Here is a 26,290-nt window from a genome sequence, read left to right on the forward strand (position 1 = left end):
AGGCGATTTACTACCTCAAAAAGCAGTCTTTCTTTTGTAAAGGCTTATCAATCAGAACTTTGGAGAGAATTTTCCAAACTCCCTAAGGAAAATTATATTTCATTGCTATGAAAGATATTTGATTTTGTGCATTTTGCTTCATAAAATGAATTTGTTTCAGATTCTGAATACTTATGATTTTTGTTTGTGTCTTTATGAATTACTTTAAAGCAATTTCCCTTTTACATTTAAATGGTTTCAGTTCTTAAAAACATTTATGTTCACCAGAAGTTGGCTTTTTTTTTTTTTTTCTTAAATGAAAAGTATAAGGGATTTTAACCTCATAAAGAATAAGGAAAATCAATTATGGTGAAGAAACATTTCATTTCTTACCGTTTAAATATTTCCTTCCTAAATTGATGGTTGATGTAATGTAGGCTGTAAAAAGAGAGGAGGCAGTTCCTGAAATACCTTGGGCTCTAAAACCCATTTTGTGAAATAGCAATGTAATTTGAATATTTTAGGAACTGACCTCAATGCTTAGAGCTTCCTTTGTATGTTCTTAAACGATGCCTTAACATCGCATTTACTTATATGTTAACATGAAAGTTATAAGTTGTCTTATTGTAACGTTGACTTGTCCCTTCAGAGAATCAGCCTTCCATTATGCTCAAGTATTCATCAACCTTCAGGGCTGGGATGGTATAAAATAATGGCATGAGATATACCTAATGCTAGATGACGAGTTAGTGGGTGCAGCGCACCAGCATGGCACATGTATACATATGTAACTAACCTGCACAATGTGCACATGTACCCTAAAACTTAAAGTATAATTAAAAAAAAAAAAGAAAAAGAAAATCTAAAAAAAAAAAAATAATAATAATAATGGCATGACCGGGCCAGGCATATAAGGATTTCCCTCCTCTCCTCATTTTTATTTTTATTATTTTGGGTACACAGTAGGTATATATATATATGAGGTACATGAGATGTTTTGATACAGACATGCAATATGAAATAATCACATCATAGATTTCTCTTCTCTGGAAGAACTTACAACCTGTTGAGGTTTGCTAGCAAACCAAACTCTAACAAAGAACACTGTTTATTTTTTCTTTTCTTTTCTTGAGATAGATATTTTTTATTTTAAGTTCTGGGATACATGTGCAGAACGTGCAGGTTTGCTATTTGCTGCACCTATCAACCCATCATCTAGGTTTTAAGCCCTGTTTTGATTTGAATATTATTCAATACAAATGAAGATTGAAATGTGGACATTTATGCTAAGAACAGCTTCTGGAATTATAGATTTGCCTTGTATTCTTACCAATTGTAAGACGGATAAACAAGCAGAAATTCAAAATGACATAATTATATTTCTTTGCATCTGGATTTTATTCTGTTCCTGGTTCAAGTTTCAAGATTGTCAAGAATGACGAGTTGGACTTGGTCTAGTTACTTCCACAGCAGCAGGAGGAACATGTGTGTGACTCAGGATAACTGGGGAAGCCTTGGCTAGGCTTTCCTCATGTCAACCTACCACTCAAAGGGAGAAAACCTCCTGATCAGAGGTGCCCAGAACCCAGGTTTGGTGGGGTTGGTTGAGGGGTGAGTCTGGAGAAACTAGAAATCTAAGGGGGTGTGTGTGTGAACATGTTTTTTGTTTTTGTTTTTTTTTGACAGGAAATCCATAATTTTTGAATGCTGGCCGAGGTCTGTGACCTCTGACTGAATGGTTTCCAAGCTCCGAATTCCTAGGTAAAAGCCCAGACTTTACTCTCCTTAGAAGTCAATTTTTATGTCACTTAATATGGAGCGTGTTCCTTTCCATCACTTAATCTTCCCAGCCTTCTTTTTAAGTTTTGAAGAAATAAGAAGATGCTTATATTTGAAGAAAGGGAAGGCAGCACTACCATTAGACTTACTATGCTGTTAAATTTTCTCAAAACTCTCCATTTCAAGTTTTTTTCTGGCTACATTATGCTTTCAGAAAACATTTGCTGAATATTCTGTGGTATTTTCTTTCCAATGAAAATATATTTTGATATTTATTGGCTAATTTCAAAAGTCAGATTTTTTTCTACTGTTTTAGTTTAAAAAAGGAAATAACTTATTTTGGATAGTATCTGTTTAAGCAGTAGTTAACTAAATGGTGATGAAATGTTACAAGGTGATGTTTTCATTTGTTTCGGAAGGTGATGTTTTCATTTGTTCACACTTGCTGAAGAAGGGAAAGGCTCTCTGATTTACGTGTAAGCAAAACAATCTAAACAGTAGGATAAAATCATGTTGGAATGGAGTTCTGTGTGGATGCTCCTTTGAACCAAATCAGTTCCACAACTGACCCTGTCAGGGACATATAAATGTATGTATTTGTTTCAGGTGGTGATATCTTTTAATGTTTGTTTCTCTCTCCATGAAATAATATAAAGCAGTTGTGATGCATGCAATAAAATTCCATTTATATGAGAATGATACGTTAGCTGTGTTGGTGAATAAAATCTGCTTTACCAACCTTCATTCATTTATTAAATAAGCATTTACTGGGACCCTATTATGATGTTGAGATGCAATGATTAATCAATAAAACAGTTGATAGCTGTTCAACTTATAGCACGTAAGTAACAATTGAAGTAGCACTTTCTCCCCTCTGCCACCTTGCTGATAGCAAGCTATAGCTTTGAGTTGCACAGTTTGGGAGTAAGAGAGACAGGAAAAGCACTATAGAGAAGAGGGCATTTGAATTGTGTGTACTTTGCCAGGAAGCTCTTCTTTCCTTTGTAAGCCTGCCTAGGACTGTAAATAGTACTTCCGCTGTCACTGGGAGACTGGTTATATGGTTGCAAGGGTGTCCTGAGGAAGTTTTCAGCATGGTTTTGGTAGAGTTGTTGCTACAGGGTGTCAAATGAGTTCATTCTGCCTGCAGAAATTTAGATAGCAGTGGTAGCAGTGAATTAAATCTTATAATTAAGTTTAAAAATCTTAATGTCTTATTCATTGCATTTTAAGCATTTCCCTAAAGTGCTACATGTTTTTTGGTTTTCCAGTTAGCATTTTGGTGTGGATACAGAAGACGAGATTAACACAGATCAAGTAACATGGAAATAAAAAAGGAGACAATGCTGGATGATACAGGGGCAGCCAACAAGAGGAGAAAACCCAAGCATTGGCAAATGCCTCATTATCCAAAGAACACTGTAAGTCTGTCTTGGCCATGATGCTCTTTTCACATCATAATAATGAACAATTATATAGCACTTATGATGTGCCAGGCAGTTCCAAATCTTTGCATATAATGAGTCATACATGAATGCATAGAAAATAGATGCACAGATAGATAAGTGAACTTAAGTTAATTTGCCAAGGATTATTTCCATTTTTTTTTTTTTTGTAGTAAACTCTACTTTAGAAATGGCTTAAAGACCCCATTCAGGTGTCATTGAAGAAAAACCTCAGTCCTCAAGAACAAATGGGCATTTGGTCACCAAGCTAGTACCAGATGAAATTAGCCAGGTTAGCATCCTTTAGGTAGAAATTGTCAGCTTTCACTTGGTTCAAATCCATCGACTACTGAAACTGCTCAGAAATCACTAAATTATTGCTATATCAGAAAGTACATTAATATCTTGCAATGTCATAGGCTCACCAACATGAATAATAATGATCACAAGTCTGTGCCAATAAAATAAATGGTCATTTAATACTTTTAGACATTTGATACCAGAAAATGGTTTATTATAGAGCTTGCAACCTACACATAAACTTCTAGTATCTGGTTATGCCAGGTGTGTGTGTATGTTTCTGTATATGTATTTGTGTGTTTTGGCATGTATGCTCACACATATACCAACAAGTTCATATGTACCTGTAGTTAATGACTTTATCAAAGATATAAAGATGAGAAAATTGCTGTATGGTCTTATAATCTTTCAAAAGTTGCTGTTGGCTTATAGAGAGAACATTAAGAAGAGATCTGTCTTGGAATTTTTTGTAATTGAGAGATCCCAGGAATAGAAGGCAGCAACCAAGCCTGCATGTAGGGATCAAAAGGTCATAAGTGGGATGAAAGGAGAAATACAGAGACCTAAAACCAAGCCATGTGTGACACTTTGGGTGCAATAGTGAGTGCCAGGAGAGAGTAGCAGGAGTTGGCAAGGGGTCTGAAAGTGGAAGGGTAACGTCGGGTAAGGAGAGAAATGGAAGTGGTAGATGGGCCTGACCTTCTCATGAGTCAGCTTTGCTTTGTGTTTCTGACTCATTCAATTCCTGGTCATGTCAGGGCTTGATTAGGTAGATAATGGCCCAGGTAATTTTAAGAATTCTCATGTGCACATTTTGAAATCAAGCATTACTAGGCAGAACCTCAATCATTTTATAAAGTAGACATTCATTACACATTGATTTGGATTTTGGGATTCTATTTTGATGTGCTGGGAACACCTCCTTTTCCCTTTTTCTCTGCTCTTACTTACGAGCTGCCTTTATTATTTTATTTACTTTTTAATGAAGTTGTAATCATACATATTTGTGGGGTACAATTTGACATTTTAATACATGTATTTGTTGTATAATGATGAAATTAGGATAGTTAGTTTATGCATCACCTCATGCATTTATTATTGTTTTGAGATGAATACATTCAAAAGCCTCTCTTCTAGCCATTTTGTAGTACAATATCTTACTGCTAACCATAGTCACCCTACTATGCAATAAAACACCAGAACTAGCCTGGGCGACAGAGTGACTCCGTCTCAAAAAAAAAAAAACCACCAGAACTAATTCTTCCTACCCAATCGTAACTTTTTACCCATTGGCCAACCTCTCCCCATTTTCCCCACCATCCCCTCCCTAGTCTCTGGTAACCACTGTTCTATCCTCTACTTGCATGATATCAACTTCTTTTTGGATTACACATATGAGTGATATCATGTAATATTTGTCTTTCTGAGTCTGGGTTATATTTAACATAATGCCCTCTGGGCTTATATATGTTGTCAAAAATGACAGGATTTTCTTCTTTTTATGGCTGAATAGTATTCCATTGTGTATATATACCACATTTTCTTTATCCATTCATCTGTTGTTGGATACACAGGTGGATTCCATATCTTGGCTATTGTGAATACTGCTGCAATAAATATGGAATTGCAAATATCTTTTGACATACTGATTTCATGTCCTCTGGATATATACCCAGTAGTGGGATTGCTGGATAATATGGTAGTTCTATTTTTAATTTTTTGAGGAACATCTATATAGTTTTCCAAAATGGCTGTACTAATTTACATTCCAGATAACAATGTGTAAGTGTTCTCATTTCTCCACATCCTCATTAACCCTTATTTTCTTTTGCCTTTCTGATAATAGTCATTTTAACTGGAGTGAGATGGCCTCTTATTGTGGTTTTGATTGCATTTCCCCGGTGATTAGTTATGCTGAGCACTTTTTCATATATCTGTTGGCCACTTGTGTGTTTTCTTTTGAGAAATGTTTATTAAGGTCTTTTGTCCATTTTAAATCAGCTTATTTGTTTTTGCTCTTAAGTTCCTTATATATTCTGGTTATTAACCCCTTGTCAGATGTATAGTTTGTAAATATCTTCTCTCATTCTGCAGGTTGTTTCTTCCCTCTGTTAATTGTTTCCTTTACTGTGCAAAAGCTTTTTGATATAATCCCTTTTGTCTATTTTTAGCTTTGGTTGCCTGTGCTTTTGAGGTCTTGTTTTTAAATCCCTTGCCCAATTTAATGTTGTGAAGCATTTCACTTATTTTCTTCTAGTAGTTTCATAGTTTCAGGTTTTACATTTAAGTCTAATACATTTTGAGTTGACCTTTGTATATGATGAAAAGAAGGCATCTAGTTTCTTTCTTCTGCATGTAGACATTCAATTTTTCCAGCATCATTTATTAAAGAGACTGTCTTTTCTCCAATGTGTGTTCTTAGCACTTTTGTTGAAAATCAGTTGGCTGCAGATATGGACTACCTTTAAAAAAAAAAAGCTTTAGGCCAGTGCAGTGGCTCATGCCTGTAATCCTAGCACTTTGGGAGGCTGAGGTGGGTGGATCACCTGAGGTCAGGGGTTCGAGACCAGCCTGGCCAACATGGCGAAACCCCATCTCTACTAAAAATACAAAAATTAGCTGGGCATGGTGGCTTATGCCTGTAATCCCAGCTACTCGGGAGGCTGAGGCAGGAGAATTGCTTGAACCCAGGAGGCGGAGGTTGCAGTGAGCTGAGATTGCACCATTGCACTCTAGCCTGAGCAACAGAGTGAGACTCCATCTCCAAAAAAAAAAAAAAAAAAAAAAAAGCTTTAAATTATTTTAGATGCAGAAGCCTAGATGCTACACATAAAATATACAAGTATAGAAGGAAAAGTTATGCATTTATTTATTAGTGCAATAAATATTTTCTCACACTTCTTGCCAGACACAAAGGACATGGCCATAAATGAGTCAAAAGGCTTGCCCTCATAGGGTTTACAATCTGGTGGGGGAGAGTTAACTTTCTCTTTCTAGTCTTTTACAGGTTATGTCAAGCAAACTATGTGAATCAACCTGGAATGTTTTAGATTCACTCACTTGTGAAAAGTTCAGAAGTTCAGTTGGGAGTAGCAATATGAGAGCCTGAATTTGTCTTTGGCTTCAGTTAGTCATTGGATTCCCAAAGGTAGTGTCTTCTTGATTCCCAAAGGTAGTGTCTTCTTGACAATGTGACAGGCTTTCAGGTCTAGATGTGAATGTTGATGAGCAAATAGGCTGTGGCCTCGAACAGCATCCTTCAAATTTATGTGAGAACATAAATTTTAATTTACTCTCCCATCTTTAACACATTTCATAGAATGAAGGCACTTTTTTTTGGTTTTGTTTTGTTGTTGTTGTTGTTTTCAGACAGAGTCTTGCTTTGTCACCCAGGCTGGAGTGCAGTGGCTCAATCTTGGCTCACTGCAACCTCCACCTCCCGGGTTCAAGCGATTATCCTGCCTCAGCCTCCTGAGTAGCTGGGATTACAGGTGCATGTCACCATGCCTGGCTAATTTTTGTATTTTTAGTAGAGACAGGGTTTCACCATGTTGGCCAGACTGGTCTCAAACTCCTGACCTCAAGTGATCTGCCCGCCTCGGCCTCCCAAAGTGCTGGGATTACAGGTGTGAGCCACCACACCCATCCAATGGTGTGTTTTTTAATAGCTAAGATAAAATATTATTTTACTGCTTAACTCAGCTTTCATAAAAAGTTTGAGTCACTTTTATCAAAGAACATTTCTTAGTGAAAATAAAAGCAAAGTATAGAAAATTCGATTTTTGAATATGATCAGAAAAAAATATAGTGCAGTTTCTGAAATCAGATGAGATTTTCCTGTTTCTGTCTCTCTAGTGATACCAACTCTTGTTTAAAAAAATCATAGAGGAAGACACTATAACCAACCTTGTATGAATTCATAGAAGACAATTTCCTTCTTTACCCTGTTAAAAATCTCTGACTATTGTTACTATTATTATTTTGAGACAGAATCTTGCACTATTGCCCAGGCTGGAGTGCAGTAGTGTGATCTTGGCTCACTAGAACCTCTGCCTCCTGGGTTCAAGTGATTCTCCTGCCTCAGCCTTCCTAGTAGCTGGGATTATAGGCATGCGCCACCACACCTGGCTAATTTTCTTCTTTTTTTTTTTTCTCTTGAGATGGAGTTTTGCTCTTGTTGCCTTTGGGTATAACCCGGTAATGGGTTTGCTGGGTTGAATGATAGATCTGTTTTAAGTTCTCCAAATTTCTTTCCACAGTGGCTGAACTAATTACATTCATACCAACAGTGTATAATTGTTCCCTTTTCTCCACAGCCTCACCAGCATCTGTTATTTTTTGACTTTTTCATAGTAGTAGCCATCCTGACTGGTATAAGATGGTATCTCATTGTGGCTTTGATTTTAAATTCCCAAATTTTCAGAGTTTACAATGTTTTGTTGAGTTAAAAATATGATTAAGACTATTAATGTGCTATTTAACCAAGATAGTGTTTGCTAAAACAACGTTATTTTTTTTTTCTTTTTTCTTTATGAGATGGAGTCTCGCTCTTGTTGCTCAGGCTGGAGTGCAATGGCACAATCTCGGCTCATTGCAACTTCTGCCTCCTGGGTTCAAGCGATTCTCCTGCCTCAGCCTCCCGAGTAGCTGGGATTATAGGCGCCTGCCATTATGCCTGGCTAATTTTTTGTATTTTTAATAGAGATGGGGTTTCACCATGTTGGTCAGGCTAGTCTCAAACTCCTGATCTCTGGTGATCTACCCTTCTCGGCCCCCCAAAGTGCTGGGATTATAGTCGTGAGCCACCATGCCCGGCCAGAAGGGTTAATTTTAAAATGTCCTGCACCTCAGGAAACTCCAAAGACTACAAAAGGATATTCAAAGAGAGAAGAAAAAAATGAACAACTTGGAATGTAATATTAGTAGAAGGTGGAAAGAAGACAGTCGTATTCAACTTCTTTTTTCTGTGTTGAGCAGCATGGTCTCTAGACTCTAAAATGTAGGGTATATATTCTAGGAGGATATATTTGACTAAGATAGAATAAGAATTTTACATTTAAATAAATCCATAGTTTCACATGGAGTCATGGCTCCATTTTTGAGTGAAGTATGTAGGATATGTCCATAGTCTACAGATGTAATGAGCAATCCAGTGCTCAAACTTAACAAGAGGTTATAGACAATGTGAGTGGAGACAGTAGATAGGAAATGAAGTGATGCTATTGATGTTACCAAAAGAAGAAAAAGTTGGACTACTAAATTTTAATGCTGATCTTAGGCAATAATTGAAAACAAATTATATATCTGATGGTTGTAAGTGCCTAAAAGAAAAGCAGAGACATTTGTTTTTATTGGCTTGATTGAAGAACCAAATGCATTGACTAACTGTATGTTAATCTCAGCAAGATGATAGACCTGTGAAAACCTGTGGGTATCCAGTGCAGATTAAATGGTAAAAGAGTGGAATGGATTAACAGTATAACTGTATGACCATGAGAAATTCTTTAGAAGAGGGAAGGGTCTAATCTTGATCCTGCTCTGTTCGGTGTTTTTATTAATGACTTGATGTTGGCAAATATGATGCTCCTCAAATACGCAGAGAAGTCTGGATTGTGAGGGAAGTTAATACAATAGAATACAAATGGAAAAGATAACAAATGCCTGAAATAATGGGTCTTCATTAACAGGATGGCCATTAACACAGATTACTATAAACTTCTGGATTTAGGTTGGGTGTCTGTGTGTTTTTAGAAAAGTTTTGTAACTTCTCTGAGCCTCGGTTTTCTTGACTGAAAAACAGTGATACAAATGCCTACCTTGTAGAGTTGTCATAGGGTTATAAATGTGTAAAAGACTTGGCTGAGGGCCTGACATATAGTATGTGCTTGATAAATGGTAGCTATTAGTATGATAATTATCATTTTACCAGTTCTTGAAGACAGAAGCATGTGTGGACTTTACAGAGTAGGATAACTTTAAGAGTCACTGGTCCCAATGAGCAGGGTACTCACAAGCAATATTAGGGGAGAATATGAGGACAACATCTTTATGAAGTCTGAGCTCAGGAATAGATTTTAAAATTTTGATAAAAGTGGCTTCTATTAGAAGCAAATCTTATTTAATTCATACATCTGGAAGAAGACTCCCAAACTGTGGAGTTTAAGGTTGCAAATAATGGAGACTAATTTGAAGCTAGGTGTAAATGCCAATAGAGATTAAACTGCTGAAGATTTTTGAAAGACTGTTAAAGTATTTGTTAGTGCTCTATTACAAAAGTTTCACAGATACTGAGTGGTCTGCCCAACCTTATTTTCCCCATAAACTCTATTACTCTTCATGTGCAATTTTGTAGAAGGCAAAGCTTTTTTCAGTTACATTGTACCATAGAAGAAATGCCCGTAGATGAAACATTTAAATGTAGATGAAAACTTATATTTACTTGATACCTTATTCTTAATTCCACAAACAACATGTAGCTAGGAAAACAATATAGACAGAGAGGTACAGTGGAAGAGAGTCTTGAAGTAGGTCTTGGGGTTGCTGGGTTCTAGTCCTGATTCTTCACTCATTAGCTGTATGTTATGGGCTGAATTGTGTCCCTGCTCCCAAATTCATATGCTGAAGTCTTAACCCCAGTACCTCAGAATGTGACTACATTTGGAGATAGGTCTTAAAGAGGTGATAAAGACAAATGGGATCATTGGTGTGGGCCCTAATCCAATGACGGGTGTCCTTGTAAAAAGAGGCAATTAGGACAAAGATACACATAGAGGAGTGCACATGAAGACACTGGGAGAAGCTGGTGTCTTAGCTCAGGCTACTACGCAAATACCATAGACTGAGTAGCCTGAACAGTGAACATTTATTTCTCTCCATGTTGGAAGCTGAAAGTCTGAGATCATGGTGCCAGCTTGGTCTGGTTCTTGGTGAGGGCCTTCTTCCTGGTTATATCCTCGTGTGGTCTTTCCTTGGTACCTGCATGCACAGAGGGGGGGGGGGGAGAGAAAGAGAGAGAGAGAGAGAGAGAGAGAGAGGGAGGGAGGGAGAGCTCTTCCTTCTTTTATAAGGGCATTAATCTCATCATGGGGACCTTGCCCTCATGACCTTATCTAAACCTAATAACCTCCCAAAGGTTCCACCTCCAAATACCATCACATTGGGGATTAGGGCTTCAACTTATGAATTTTGGAAGTATACAAACATTCAGTCCATACCTGATGGCCATCTACAAGTGAAGGAGAGAGATCTCAGAAGAAATAAATTCTGTTGACACCAGAACTGTGAGAAAGTAAATTTCTCTTCTTTGAGCCACCTAACCTATAGTAGTTTGTTATGGCAGCCTTTGTAACCCTGGGTATTTAACTTCTCTGAATTTTCATTGTCTCATCTGTGAAGTGTGTTGATATTTTATGATATAAAATGGATGATATTTTAAAATAAGTAAATTCACCTATTTTAAACTGGGGGAAAAGATGACAAAAAAAGGAATAGTATTGAATAATGGTAGCTTTCTAATTTCATTTATTTTTCTAAAAGTCTGAGAGTAAAATATAGATACATCCTGATTTGAAAGGACCAAAAACTCTACATAAAACTAACTAAATAAATAAGTAATTATTTACAGGAAAATTCCCCAAATCATAATACCATTACTTAGAGAATACTCCAAGGGAATTTTAAATAAAATTTGATTCTCTCTCTCCAAAAATGTCAATTTACATTAACTTTCCAGAGGTATACCTATTGCATAAATTAGGACACACCGTACTTGTTAAATACTTAAGCTTTGATTTCATAAGAGATTTCAGGATGCTGAAAGCAACCTAACCCTGCTGTTGTTATTGTAATGCATGCATAGACTGCAGTTGATAATCAGAGCTGTGTTGGGCATTCCACTTTGCACCTCCTATGGCACCAATTTTCAGAAACTGTTAGAACTCAATGGAAAAATCTCACCTAAGATTCATCTGTGAGCTAAATTACAGGGGAAGCCATTATCATTCATTTTACATGCACTATTGGTTCAGGTTGTCAGCCAAGCACCTCTGGATCACAGGGGAGGATTTTGCTAGCTTTGAGAATCTGAGAATTGAAATGGTCAACCAAGTTATTTCACTGTCCTTCTCATCAACAAATACTTTTTAATCTAAGCAAAATGGTGTCTAGGTCTTGTCTGAGTTCTGTGGCAGGGTTGGGATAGAGGAGTAGAAATTTAAAATCTTGTTAGAAGAGACCAAACAAATATTAAACAATTAGGAATCAATTAAATGTTAAACTCTATGGAATTAAGTAGAAAAGTATTTTAGAGAAAGGCAAGGTGAATATCAATTTGAGGAAATCTGTTAGGCTGATGGAAGAGGTGAGACTTGGACCAGGGTTTTGAAGTGGGAAGCTTGGAGTAGAGGATACGTGGGTGCACGTTAAGGGGAAGGGTGTGTTTGTGTGTGTGTTATGCATGGTGCTCAGGCACTGTTTTCTGGGGTCGTGGTTGGGGGTAAGTGTGAGAGGAGAAAGATCATGAGCAAAGACATGTAAGTAAGAACCTAGATACCATGGGTAATACACTTAGAGAAATGTGACTGATGAGAGGAAAAAATGTGCCCATTTGCTGTCAGGATTAGGAGTCTTATTTCTAAGTCCTTACAACAACCTACAATATAAGTATTACCATTGCCATTTTGGAAATGAAGAAACTGGGATTTTGAAAAATGCATTGCTTTACACATACTAAATGCACAAGCCACCTGAGTCTTCATGAGTTTGTCTGGCATAGTGGGAAATAACAGGTCCACATGGATATCACAAACTAATAGAGACCACTTGCTAAAACTAGGGCTAACATTATAATATACTTTGTGCTCCAGAGTTTCCTGATGGGATCAAACTGAAGGTCATCTGAAACTGAGATCACATCTTGCTTAATATCTCCTCCCCTCCCCACATATTCTCTCCTGTATCCCTCATGCTCCCTCTCCAGAAAACACTCCTAAAAAATCACTTGAAAAGAATCCCCATCGAAGTCTCTGCTTCTGCGGAACACTACCTAAGACTCCAGCATTTGCCAAATAAGGCTCCAAATTGTGATCAATGCATACAGCATATCATTGCTGCAAGTGAGGACTCATTGTGTAGTGGAGCCGTCTATCAGGCAGCATTGTGCTGAGTGGGATGTTGGTGGGAGGTAGTCATAACCATTACCATTAGCCAGTGTGGTTGTAATAAGCACTTTACCTGGATCTTCTTTCCTAAAGCTGATTTCTAACCCTATGAGTTAGGTTCTATGATTGTCTCTGTGCTTACAGATATGGAAACTAACATTTGAGAGAGGAGATATGATTTGCTCACGGCCACACAGCTTGTCAGTGGCAAAGTCAGGATTCCACTACACCTGTGTTTAACATTGCAGCTCCAAAAACGAGTTTGTGCTTACTGGAATATGTAATTTACTAAACATGTAACTTATTAGAATATCTAAGAATTATGGCTCAGGACAGTAAAGAGTTCTACTCAACTTGCAGGGGCAACCTATAATGGTATATATAGTGTAATCCCTTTAAATGAGCACAGAATTATTTGAGAACTCCTGGGCATAAAAGTGAATGGCAAATTGGGCAGAGAAGTTTGAAGTAAGTAGAAGATATGGTAACCACATGATTAATCAACGAAATGGAACACTATTGAGGGCAATAGGAGATGCCATTAATAATTACACAAGGATAATAAGTGTAAGACAGACTGAGCAAATCAGGATGTATGATCACTTCAGTAATAGGAGGCAACAAGGAGCTATAGTAAGTTCTTGAGCAGGAGAGCGAAATAATTCTTCTGTAAATGGTGTGCAACATGATTTGGAAGAAACCTTGGAAAGTAGGAGAGCAGGAGACAGGAGATTGTTCTACAGATACTAATGTGGTCTGTCTGAGTTTCTGTCCTGGCCTCTGGTTTTCTTTCTAGTTCACTGCTAGAAATGGTGGTTCTTTCTGGACCTCAACAGCTTTCCAAAGGCTGTCAGCCAATCCTTTTCCCAGGACATCTGAACCCTGTTCTGGTATTCCCAACCACTGGTTAGATCCTTTGTTTAATTCAGAAGGACTTTGCCCTGGAACCAAATATCCTCATTCTTTTTTTTTTTTTTTCTTTTTTTTTGGTGGTGATGTTGTTTGAGACAGGGCCTCACTCTGTTGCCCAGGTTGGAGTGCAGTGGTATGATCTTGGTTCACTGCAACCTCTGCCTCCCGGGTTCAAGCGATTTTCTTACCTCAGCCTCACGAGTAGCTGGGACTACAGGCAAGCGCCACCACGCCTGGATAATTTTTGTATTTTTAGCAGAGATGGGGTTTCAGCATGTTGGCCAGGCTTGTCTCAAACTTCTGACCTCAGGTGATCCACGCGCCTCAGCCTCCCAAAGTGCTGGGATTACAGGCATGAGGCACTGCGCCTGGCCCAAAATATTCTCATTCTGCTGGTTCTACTTTCCTGAAATATCTATATCTTCATGGGGTATCCTGTGCCCCAGGGGCCTTGTGACTTTTCCCATAGAAAACAAGGTCTGGATGAACAAAAAGAAAGAGGTGCACATTTCCCACTGAGAATCTCAGACATTTTGCCTAGATAGATTTGTCCTAAAACTTACTTCCCTCTGCTTAATGTAAGTAAAATGAAAAAGGTCATTTTGTATAAGTGGTCCTTTTTTTTTTCAGCCTTATACTCCTGAGAATTTGTGGCAGTCCTGGGTTAAACGATGAAGGCTTCTTATTCTCATGTAGGTCTCACAGCCTCTTGTCTCCCTGAGTTTTAAACACATTGCATTACCTTTCCAGAGGTAAGATTAGGGTCAATAGTTTGAATTTGGGTTTCAGAGGGGAAAGACAGAGGACCTAATATTATTGATGGAGAGCTCCTTTGCAAAAAGGGGGTGGGAGGGAGAGAATGGTGTATCCAGCAAATCTCCAGGGTCTGCAGAGATTTAAAAATATGTAAAAAATATATATTTATATATATATTAAGCTTGTAGCTTATGTCCTTTGGAATTGAAACACATGTTCTTTCACAAGGCAGCTTCCTGTGTCCCTGTCCTTTGGAAAATGCTGCCTCCTGGTCTGCTTGTGTGGAGAAAGAATGAGGAAGACAAGGAAATTAAGGAAGGACCCCTCATTATGTGAATATGGGATTTTGTTTCTAAATACAGATAGATTGTCCAATCTTAAAAAACCCAAACTTGTGAAATGGGCTTTGACTGTATTTTTCTTTCTTTCTTTCTTTCTTTCTTTCTTTCTTTCTTTCTTTCTTTCTTTCTTTCTTTCTTTCTTTCTCTCTTTCTTTCTTTCTCTCTCTTTCTTTTCTTTTCTTTTTTTGAGATGCAGTCTTGCTCTGTCACCCAGGCTGGAGTGCAGTGGTGCTATCTCAGCTCACTGCAACCTCCGCCTCCTGGGTTCAAGCGATTCTCCTGCCTCAGCCTCCTAAGTAGCTGGGATTACAGGTGCATGCCACCAGGCCCAGCTAATTTTGGTTATTTTTAGTAAAGACAGGGTTTCACCATGTTGGTCAGGCTGGTCTCGAACTCCTGACCTCTTGATCCTCCCACCTCGGCCTCCCAAAGTGCTGGGATTACAGGCGTGAGCCACCGCGCCCAGACTCGAGTGTATTTTTCTACCTTTACAACATAGTGAAAAGCACCCAAACTTTAGAATTACATAGATCTGGGTTCAAATTCTAGATTTATTGTTTAATAGTTATATGACTTTGGATAAGCTCTATAACCTCTTAGCTTGATTTTCCTCATTTATAAAATGTCAGAGAAAAATAGCACCCCTTGAGGTTGTCATGCAGTATAAATGAAGTACTATTTATCAGGTCTCAAGCATGAAGCTTGGCACACAGTGAAGTGGAACTGTTGCTTCCTCAGACACGGTTCACATGGGCTAATATCTGCACTTTGCATAGCCCACTCTAAAGGAACGTATCACATTATCTTATATTTAGTTGTCCATGTGCCTGCCTCCCCACCAGAACACCTGTTTCTTTTTGTAGTTCAGAGCCTGACATACAGGTGCTCAGAATATAGTCATTGGATGGAAATTAAAAATAAAATAACCTTTAGTAGTAACCTAATTTCCAGGCAATATTCTCTTTATCTGGAACCTTGACAAAACTTTTTTCTTTTTTTTTTTCTTTCCTTCCTTTTCTTTTCTTTCCTTCTTTCAGTTGTACATTTCCAATGCTGTTTTTTCTTTGGTAAAATGGAGTCCCTCTCTAGGGGCTGCTGTGAGGATTACATGACTCAAGTCTGTGAAGGGCTTTGCACAGGACCTGGTATAGTGCAGTTGCTTGGCAGGGGCCATGGAAGGGTGTTGAGACAGGGTCTCACTCTGTTGCCCAGACTGGTTTTGACCTCTTGGGCTCGAGCAATCCCCCTGCGTTAGCCTCCCATAGCACTGGGATTACAGGTGTGAGCCACCATGCCCAGCCTAGTGCAGATAATTGTGTAAGTGCTTCTGATAATTGTGTCCAACTTGTGTATTTGCTATTACAGAAGAACAGCTTTTGAGGTAATTTATGTTGAAATTTCTATCTCTTAAAAACATGTTTTCATTACAAAACTAATACATGCTCACCGTTAAAAATTTGGCAAATATAGAAAATAGAGACTCCTCAGTCTAATGATTGGCTCCTTTCTGAGGCTTCTGTGGAGCAGATTTATGGTGGGCAACATTCTTCTTGCAAGGCATGAGAAAATTAGAAACCTGGACTGGAATACTCGCACAGAACCGCAGATGTAGAAATTCTCAAGCTTGGGCAGTCTAGACCTAGAGCACATGTCCTGGTAAAGCTCCTGAATTGGTTTGGAGAACCTAATCAATGATAGGCTTACCTACATGACACCTTTCATTCCAGTCAGCGTTTCTGAAGCCTGCCTTGGTGAAATCACAGCGTGGCTGCAGAACTGACATGGGCCCAATTGTCCTACCACTCGTAGCATCACCACCTGGACTCAGACAGCTTTGGCTACTGGTCCAGACACCTGGCTCTCAAGCCCTGATTTTGGTGAAGTTTGTCTAGTGTTGGTTTATAAAAGCCTATAGTGTCAGTAAGGTTCTGCCCACACTAATAACCCTACTCAACTAGTTACAGTTGTCTCATCAGCTGCTTTAAATACCTTCTCTCATTTTGGAGCACCTAACAACACAGAAACCCAGCCCTGTCTCTCACTCAATGAACTGACCCTTTAGTGGTGGATCTAGTGACTGTGTATGGAAATGGCCCATATTAGCAGTGTGGCCACACACGTGCTTATTGTCTTCTCTTTCTTTCCATAAGTGAGGAGCATCACTAAGGGTACACCAACAATTTTATTCTTTTGATTCAACATCAGAACTTCCAAAGTGGCCCTTCCTGTCCATCCCCGTTGTTTCAGTCTTCTTGAGGCCCTAACATGTGCTATCCTATAGGGTACTTCAACCCCGTTACAATCCACATTTTTCAGTCCAACTTCTTGGAAAAAAAGATGTAGCCAATACCCAGCTGCTGCAGTTTGCTGCCCAGGAGTTTATCACCATTGTCCATAAGTCCATGCTTCTCCAATGCTATTTTCTTTGCCAAGAATATTCTATCTCTTGGAAAAGTCCTGCTATTTTACCTAATCTGAATGTTGCTACGGTAAAATCTTAGTTGATTCTGGAAAACAGTTATCCACTTCTTTCCAATGCTTTCAGAGCCCACAGTTTTGCCTCTTTTACTGCCCTTATAGTATGTTGTAATTATCTATTTATACATCTGTCTCCTCCCACTGGAATGTGAGATTGTGGAAGCCAGCAATAGCTCATATTCGCGGGTGCATCCCCAGCCCCTAGCGCATAGTAGGCGTGTAGTGTTGATTGGAGGAGTGACTAGTGACTAGAATCAATGTTCTTTTGCTCATGGAAAATGGCTTTTAGGCTAATATGCTTTTGTGATTTAGCAAAAAATGATAAAGTTCAAAGTGGAAAAAAGTTTCCTAACCTGTTGTGACATACAGCAAGAGATTTTATTGCATATTTCTGTTTTTATCTGCCATATGGCTTTCCATTCACAAACTGCTCTAGTGAGAATTAGTTTTGCAGGTAATTTTCTAATGATTGTCTTGGGATAAACAAATTTATCAGACTTGTTTGGCTAATGTATTCAAGGAGGTTCACAGGGGAAAAGATTAATCATCTAAGAAGCAAGCGGGTGTCTGTCATTAGGCGGAAGGGTCCAGAGAGATGATCGGAGCTGAGCGAGTGGTTGCTATGACTGCAGATACCTTTCTCTCCCTTTGTGAGGTCAACAGCAGCTCCCAAGCTGATTGGCTAAAATTAGATTATCCTGCTGACCAACTATGGGAAGTTAATTTCATCAGAAAGAGAAAAATGGTAGGAAATCCTGCTGTGATGCTACAAAGGAATTTTCTTTAGAAACCCAGAGTCCAAGTTTGCTTTCATTATAATTAATATGTTCCGTCTAATAAAATAATTTAAGGGAAGCAGACAATAGCATTAGTCTATTATTTTGTATATCCATATAAGCTTTAATCTTGTTTGTCCTAAAACCAACTCTCAAAGTTAAAGTTACCTTTATTTTCCTGTAAATACCTTCCATAACCAAAGACTGTAATCGTGTATGTGTTTATATAATTGGAGATAGGCTAATTGTGAAAAATACAAAAGGAGCTGGCACAATTAAAGGTATCTGCTTACAGGGCTCTTGCCCTAGGGAAATAGTAGGCACAAAAAACTTTAAGCAGAATCATTTACCTTTGGATTGAGAGCATAGTTTTAATTGAATTTGAATAGAATTCTGCCTTCCAAAGGGTTCTGTCCCTGTAAGTCTTATACTGCCTACCCTCTGGCTTTCCACCTGGTAAATCCTTTGTTCTGGAAATTAATCACCACTGACCTGGCTTATTACATTTATTTCTGTACAGAGAAAATACAGACGTAGTTCATCTTATGAAAAAGAATGTTGTCTGTTTGCAGGCTCTACTGAGTTATAAAACTAAGTGGATGTAAAACACAAACCAAAGAAAACCAACCCAAAGATTTAAAAAAATTTTTTTTTGTTCTTTTGTGACTATGGAAATAAAATATGATTAAGAAAGAATCTGAAATAATTTGTACCTCAAACAACGATGTCACAAGTTTACCTGTATAGCAAACCTGCACATGTACCCCTGACCCTGAAATAAATGGTAAAAAAAAAAACACAAAAAACAGAAAAACAGCTAACATTTATGGAATTCTGGAATTCTGGATACTCTACATGCTTCTATCTATATGATTGCCAAATCAACATGTTTTAAAAATTAAATCAACCTATTGAGATACATTTGGTTGCATGCTGAAGGGCTAATGAGAGGGACTCAAGATGCCCCTTTCCTGAGAGCCATGGTCGGGGGATTGGAGATGAGCATGTATGTATAAAAGGTAGTGATGCACTCCAGGCAAAATAAAAACATTACTAACAATCATTTCAAAAAGGAAGCACTATGGGAATTCCTAGGAAGAGAGAGTGAGACTACAATGGCTGAAATGATCCAGTTTCGGATATTTCTTAGAGAAGACTGGGTAGAGAGATGAAGAGATCACCATCACGATGTATATTAATGTTACACATCATTGAGGATTTGGGAAACAAAGACAAAACACCATAGTTCCATTGCCCTCATAATAATCACTATATTAATCACATCTATTGAGTGCTTATCCTATTTCAGCCACAGCACTCATTTACCTCCCCACAATACTCCTCTGAAATGAGTTATTATTTTTATCACTATTATTGCATTGTAATTAATGTGAGGAAGTTGAGCCATAGAGATTAATCCATCTAAATTCACACTGTTAATAAACTGGGGAGCCAAAATTCAAATCTAGTTCCTCTTGTTAGCATTTTTTGCACGAGTCTCTGCTTGTTTTGCATGAGTGTTATTACAATCTTCATTTTTTGTTACTTTTTCACTTATGTTATTGTATAAATCTAATGATCATTTTTGATAGCTACATAATATTTCATTGAGTTATTTGTACCACCAGTTACTCAACATTCCATTATTGCTGAACTTTAGTATTTTCAAATTTTGACATTTTCTGAATAAGATATTTTTCTGTTTATATTAAGGCTATCATATAACCCATATTATAGGGTTAATTTATAAAGTTGAAAGGACTCTTTGAAAAACAATGTTGTCAAATTCTCTTTTGTCAATAATACCAGGGCACTCAATGTACTGCATTCTTGACAGCTTGGAAGAATCATTAAAAAAGCAAAAACATAAAAAAAAAAATTAAAAATGTTGATTGATAGGCAACAATAAGCTTCCTGTTTTATGCTTTTCCTGGTCACTAAATAATTTATGTATTTGTTAAAGCATATTTATTGAGCACCTCTTGGTCTTGTGATATATTAGTGGGCAGCATAGATAAGTGATGATATATCTGTTTCCTAATTCTATTCAAATATTTTTTTTCAGATAGGACATTTTAAGTATCACTATTATAGTATGTGGGAGGAAGATGATTAGAAGGGAGAAAGATTTCAGGGAAACCAAGTTCAGATACTATCTTAATAGAATGGCTAGATAAGTATTCCACGACCAAACAATTTTAAAAAGGGAAAAGTGGGTGCACAAAACATATAGGATCACAAACTCTTATGAGTTATCTCAATGTTCTAGTGGAATTTCCTTATAATGACATTATTAAAAGTCTCCATCCCAGGCTATTGGATTTAATAAGAATTTTGTAGATGCATGTGAGAAACTTTCAGCTCGCATTTTCATGTATTTCTTTCTCTTCCTATCTTTTAATACTGTGGCTGTTGGGTAGTGGTGTTGTATAGCTTCACATTTGGGTTACATTTTCAAGTAGGAGTGATGTGGTTGTGGTGAGAGATGTTGAAATTTGAGTTGTGATGGCATATGAATAGACCTAAGATAGCTTTATCTCATGGTCCCTTAGGGTAGAAGGGGAGAGGTTGTCATCCATCCTCCCACTACTTGCAATAATGCAAGCATCATATAGCCAGATAGTTTGGTTCTAGAGTATGGCTGTCACACAGCCAAGGGCTGTTTGAAAGTGGGTGTATGGTCACACAATTGATTCCTGTCGTTTTAGAGAATGGATTGTATTGAAACCAACCATAGTCTATGTTTCTGCAGATCATTATTTGAGACAAACATAGCTTGCAAAACAAAATATTTGTTCATTCAGAGGTCATGCATGCTAGGTTATTTAGCTCAGTACTTACTGCAAAGTAAGTGATCAATAAATATTTGTTACTTTTGTCATTTATATTTTTATTCATGTTAAATTTGCTGAAGTGTGATTTTTTTCCTCTTCATATTCCAAAGGCATCTAGAAGTGAAAGGGAAAAAGGAATAGCATCAGAGATGAAAGAGAAGGAAGGATCAAGGGGGGAGCTATTTTTAAGACTGGGCTGCTGCTCTGAAGTGCATAGGAAGAAACAAGAAGAATAAAGAGACTGATGATGAGGGCAGAGGAGAGATCAACGGTTAACTGTGTAGAGTTGTGGGAGCAGGTGGAGGGTCCTGGACAGGAAGAACAGTTTAGTGGAAAACTAAAGAAATGTTAGCAAGCCAGGGCTCTGAAATCATGATGAAATTTAGCATGCCTTAGGCTAGGCACTATTCTGTTTCTAAAGCCATGAGGTATGGAAGGCCATACTTGCTCTCTATTGCATGCCAGGTTGTGCAAGGATTTGCAATTGAAAACAAATTGCCTTATTGCTAGAGAGAAATTAAAGACTGGAGTGAGCTTGGGAATGACAGGCTGATAAACAATTATTTTGTTTCCTTGAAAGCAAGATTACTGGCTAAATGTTGAAATTTCAGTTAACTAACTGCACAGTGGGCCACATGGCTTGTTATGCATAAGAAGCAAATGGAAAGGTCCAGCCATGATTGTGATCCTGGTCTGACAAGGTGGCAAAGGCCAAATGGACTCCTTTTATGCTGAGCACTTCCTGGAAGGAAAAGGCTGATGATTTCTCTGTCCTCCTCTGAGAAGTTTGCTTAATTTTGTCTGAGCCCCTAAGGAGGGAGGGGCAACATCTAACTGGTTTGTGGGCATACAAGTTGATCAGGGCCTACAAAGAGGATTGGCAGGCAGAGTCTCCACAGACCAAATTGTGTCTCAGCCGATACAGAGCACTACCAAGTCACTGCGTGTGTGGTTGTGTCAGTGTCTGCTACAGGAAGGGACTCTGTGGTGGGCTCAGGACTGGGACATTGCCAACCATCCACGTGGCTCAAAGCAAGTCCCTTCATCCTGCAGGGGTCCAGCTTTATATATATGTAAGGTAAGGGCACTGGACAAAGAGCCTTCTGGGTGCTAAGAGTCACGACCTAAATATACCTGTAGTACATGGGCCTTGAGGATTGTTGGGTCCACAGAAATGTTGGCTGAAATGGGAGGAATAAGATAATTTCCAATTGTATTTTCTCTGGCCCAGAGAAATTTTTTAACCTTTTCCTTGCTTCTGTGTTGTAGCCTATTAGATAGTTTCAATTAGTTCTTCCCTATTGTACAGTAATTGTTTATCTGTCTTGACTGTGAGCTATTTAAGAACAGGGACAGAATTTTTCTTGTAACTTATTTAGTTTTGAAGAAGTAGTATATTTACATGATTCAGAAGGTACAAAAGGGAAAACAGTAAAGTCTTCTTCCCTCAGCAACCCATTTCCCCTTCCTATTGGCAATCAAAGTTATTGTTGTCTTGTGTATACTTGCAGTTGTCTTATGCATGCACAGACAAAAATATATGTACTATATTCACCTTCCTTCTGTTCCCAATACCTTTTGTGGACAAATACTAGTTAGTACTTGTTCCACATTTTCTGCTTTCTGCTTAATGCTATATAGTGAAGATATTTTTACATATTATGTAATGAATTACCTCAGTCTTTTTTATAGCTGCATGGTATTCCATTTTGTGTATATGTCACAATTTATTTAAAACAGTCTCAATTTGATATTTAGGTTGTTTTTAATCTTGTGATATTATAAATAATACTGTAATAAATAATCATGATTTTGCAGGGGTATGTGTGTGTGTGTGTGTGTGTGTGTGAAAATTTCTAGTAGTAGAATTTTTGGGTCAGGTATATATGCATTTTCAATTCTAATAGATATTGTCAAATTGCTTTTTATAGAAGTTGCCTCAGTTGACAGCCTTACCAGTAAAATTCAGAGTGCCTGTTTTTCTACGCTTTCACTAACATAATTGTGTATCTCGATGGGAACCTGAACTCTTGCAGGGGCTTGGGTTCTTCGATTAGGAAGATCAGCCAAATCTATCCACTTGCGATTAGTACGTGTTCTCCAGCATTGCTGCCTCTTATCCTCCCACCTCCTACTTGTGGCAAGGGGGAGGGGGAGGGGGAGGGAGGGAGAGAGAGAGAGAGAGAGAGAGAGAGAGAGAGAGAGAGAGATTTTGTGCTAATGAGACAAGTGGCAGATAAGTTCCTAAAATGTGATTTGGGAAATGCCAATGGGGTCTCTCCTTCACAGATACTTATCCCATCAATTTAATTTGATTTTTTTAAGATTCCACATTTGAATTCATTCCTTTGCTTAAGATTTTGTCTCTTATCAAAACATAACTGATTAAGTCTTATCAGTCATTTGCACCCTACTATGAATTATTTCCACCGTAAGCAGTTTTGCTGCGCAGGAAGTCAGGGAGAAAGATGGGAAGGAAAAGATTCTGAAAAGGCAGATGAGAGAATATTCAAATGTCACCTATTTAACAATTTTAGCTACGTCTACTGTCTCATTAGAGACATCTCTCTAAAACCAATTTTGGTCATGTCATTTTCCTGCTTAATGTACTTCCACGACCCTCACCACTTTTAGGATCAAAGATACATTTAGCATGGCATGCAAGGCCTTTCACAGTCTGGTTTCTGTTGACTGTTACAGCTTCTTCTCTTTTAGTCTTGGCCCTTTGAACCACAGTTACAGTTAGCTTCTTGCTACCTCGGAAGTGAATGATTACCCTGTGTATCCTTTACCACCTTTCCTAATTTGAACTCTGAAGGCCATTCTGAGGGCTTCCTAAAACATTTGTGCCTACTTCCATCCAAGCAGAACTTCTTCAGCATTATAATTTCTCTTAAATTAATTGTTGTTAGTTTAATTCCTATCTCTTAATAGACTATAAGCCTCTAGTAGGCAGGAAGTTTTTTTTTTGTCAAATCTTTTTTTTCCATAGGTTATCGGGGTACAAGGTAGTGTTTGGTTACATTAGTGAGATTTTTAGTGGTGATTTGTGAGATTTTGGTGCACCCATCACCCGAGTAGTATAGACTGCACCCTATTTGTAATCTTTTATCCCTTGCCCCCTGTATTAGTCCGTTTTCATGCTGCCAAGACATACCTGAGACTGGAAATAAAAAGAGGTTTAATTGGACTTACAGTTCCACATGGATGGAGAGGCCTCAGAATCATGGCAGGAGGCAAAAGGCACTTCTTACATGGCAGCGGCAAGAGAAAAATGAAGAAGATGCATAAGCGGAAACCCCCAATAAAATCGTCAGAACTTATGAGACTTATTCACTACCATGAGAACAGTATTGGGGAAACCGCCCCCATGATTCAAATTATTTCCCACTGGGTCCCTCCCAGAACATGTGGGAATTATGGGAGCACAATTCACAATGAGATTGGGGTGCGGACACAGAGTTGAACCATATCACCCCTCTCCCAACCTTCCTCCCAAGTCTCCAAAGTCCATTGTATCATTCTTATGCCTTGGTGTCCTCATAGCTTAGCTCCCACATATCAGTGAGAATATACAATGTTTGGTTTTCCATTCCTGAGTTATTTCAGTTAGAATAATAGTCTCCAATCTTATCCAGGTCACTGCAAATGTCATTAATTCATTCCCTTTTTATGGCTGTGTAGTATCCCATTGTAAATATATACCACAGTTTCTTTATCCACTCATTGATTGATGGGCATTTGGGTTGGTTCCATGATTCTGCAATTGCAAATTGTGCTGCTATAAGCATGTGTGTGCAAGTATCTTTTTTGTATAAAGACTTCTTTTCCTCTGGGTAGACACCTAGTAGTAAGATTGCTGGATCAAATGGTAGTTCTACTTTTAGTTCTTTATCTTCTTTTAGTTTTTCTTTCTTTTAGTTCATTGTGGTTTTGATTTGCATTTCCCTGATCATTAGTTATGTTGAGCATTTTTTCATATGTTTGTTGGCCATTTGTATATCTTCTTTTGAGAATTGTCAATAGCTGTGACATAATTAAACTAAAGAGGTTTCTGCAACAAAAGAAACAGTCAGCAGAGTAAACAAACAACCCACAGAGTGGGAGAAAATGTTCATAATCTATACATCCAACAAAGGACTAATATCCAGAATCTACAAGGAACTCAAACAAATCAGCAAGAAAAAAAATCCCATCAAAAATTGGGCTAAGGACATGAATAGACAATTCTCAAAAGAACAGCCTTCATCCCTAGATCTTCCCTCTGACAGAGCCTATACAAATGAGAAGGAACCAGAAAACTAACTCTGGTAATATGACAAAACAAGGCTCTTCAACACCCCCCAAAAAATCACACTAGTTCACCAGCAATGGATCCAAACCAAGAAGAAATCCCTGATTTACCTGAAAAAGAAGTCAGGAGGTTAGTTATTAAGCTAATCAGGGAGGCACCAGAGAAAGGCGAAGCCCAGTGCAAAGAAATCCAAAACACGATACAAGAAGTGAAGGGAGAAATAGTCAAGGAAATACCCAGCATAAAGAAAAAACAATCAAAACTTCAGAAACAATGGACACACTTATAGAAAGGCAAAATGATCTGGAAAGTCTCAGCAATAGAATTGCGCAAGTAGAAGAAATAAATTCAGAGCTCGAAGACAAGGGACCAGTCCATGTCACAACTCTTTAACCATCTTTTTCCAAATATTATTTCCTGTGATCTTTTGAAAGTTGATGGATAGTTCACCAGACTAAGCTCAAATTGATTTGGCTTTCAGTTGAAATGAGGCAAGCTAAAGAACAGAATATCTTTAATTAGCAATATCATGGTTTATATAAACCCAACAAGGCCTCATATCATTTTGGTACTAGGATAATGTTTTTCTTAACGTCATAACATTAGTAAAATTGATCCGTAATGGTGTGTGTGTGTGTGTGTGTGTGTGTGTGTGTGTGTGCGATTTATGTAATTTGAGTGTTGGCTAGGATAGCTGCCGAAGTTTATAGCAATGTCAGGGTAGGATTAAATTGGTATATAGTCCAGACTGCCCAGTTTTGAATCCTGGCTTCATAACTAGCTTTATGACTCTTGATGCACAACAAGACATTCCTTGATCTCCTCAGAGGATTGGTTTCAGGACCCCCAGCAGATACCAAAATCCACAGATACTCAAGCTCCTTACATAAAATGATGTAGTGTTTGCATATAACCTATGCACATCCTCCATATACTTTAAATCATCTATAGATTACTCATAGTACCCAATATAATGTAAAATATAGTTATTATACCATATTGTTTATTATTTGTATTGTTTTTGAAGATTGTATTATTATTTATTTATATTTTTTCAAATATTTTCGATCCATGGTTGGTTGAATCCTTAATTGTGGTACCCATGGATACAGAGGGCCCACTGAACTTAACATTTCTGTCATTTGTGTTATCTTCTGTAAATGGGCTGAAGATAATAGTAAGACCTTCATGGATTTTTTTAAGGATGAAATGAGTTAATATATGTAAAGCGCTTTCAC

General features: G+C 37.9%; 1 long non-coding RNA gene across 1 annotated transcript in view; it reads left to right on the plus strand.

Annotated features, from left to right (window-relative positions):
- The window catches only part of LINC01206 (long intergenic non-protein coding RNA 1206), a 58,315-nt gene that overhangs the window by 17,803 nt on the left and 14,222 nt on the right, over positions 1–26,290 (plus strand). The window contains exons 3-5 of the long non-coding RNA NR_104146.1: positions 1,666–1,740; positions 2,178–2,347; positions 3,030–3,179. This is a non-coding gene — a long non-coding RNA (long intergenic non-protein coding RNA 1206). The remainder of the gene's footprint in view (positions 1–1,665; positions 1,741–2,177; positions 2,348–3,029; positions 3,180–26,290) is intronic.

The sequence above is a fragment of the Homo sapiens genome, chromosome 3 (assembly GCF_000001405.40).
Source record: "Homo sapiens chromosome 3, GRCh38.p14 Primary Assembly".
Taxonomy (NCBI): Eukaryota; Metazoa; Chordata; class Mammalia; order Primates; family Hominidae; genus Homo; species Homo sapiens.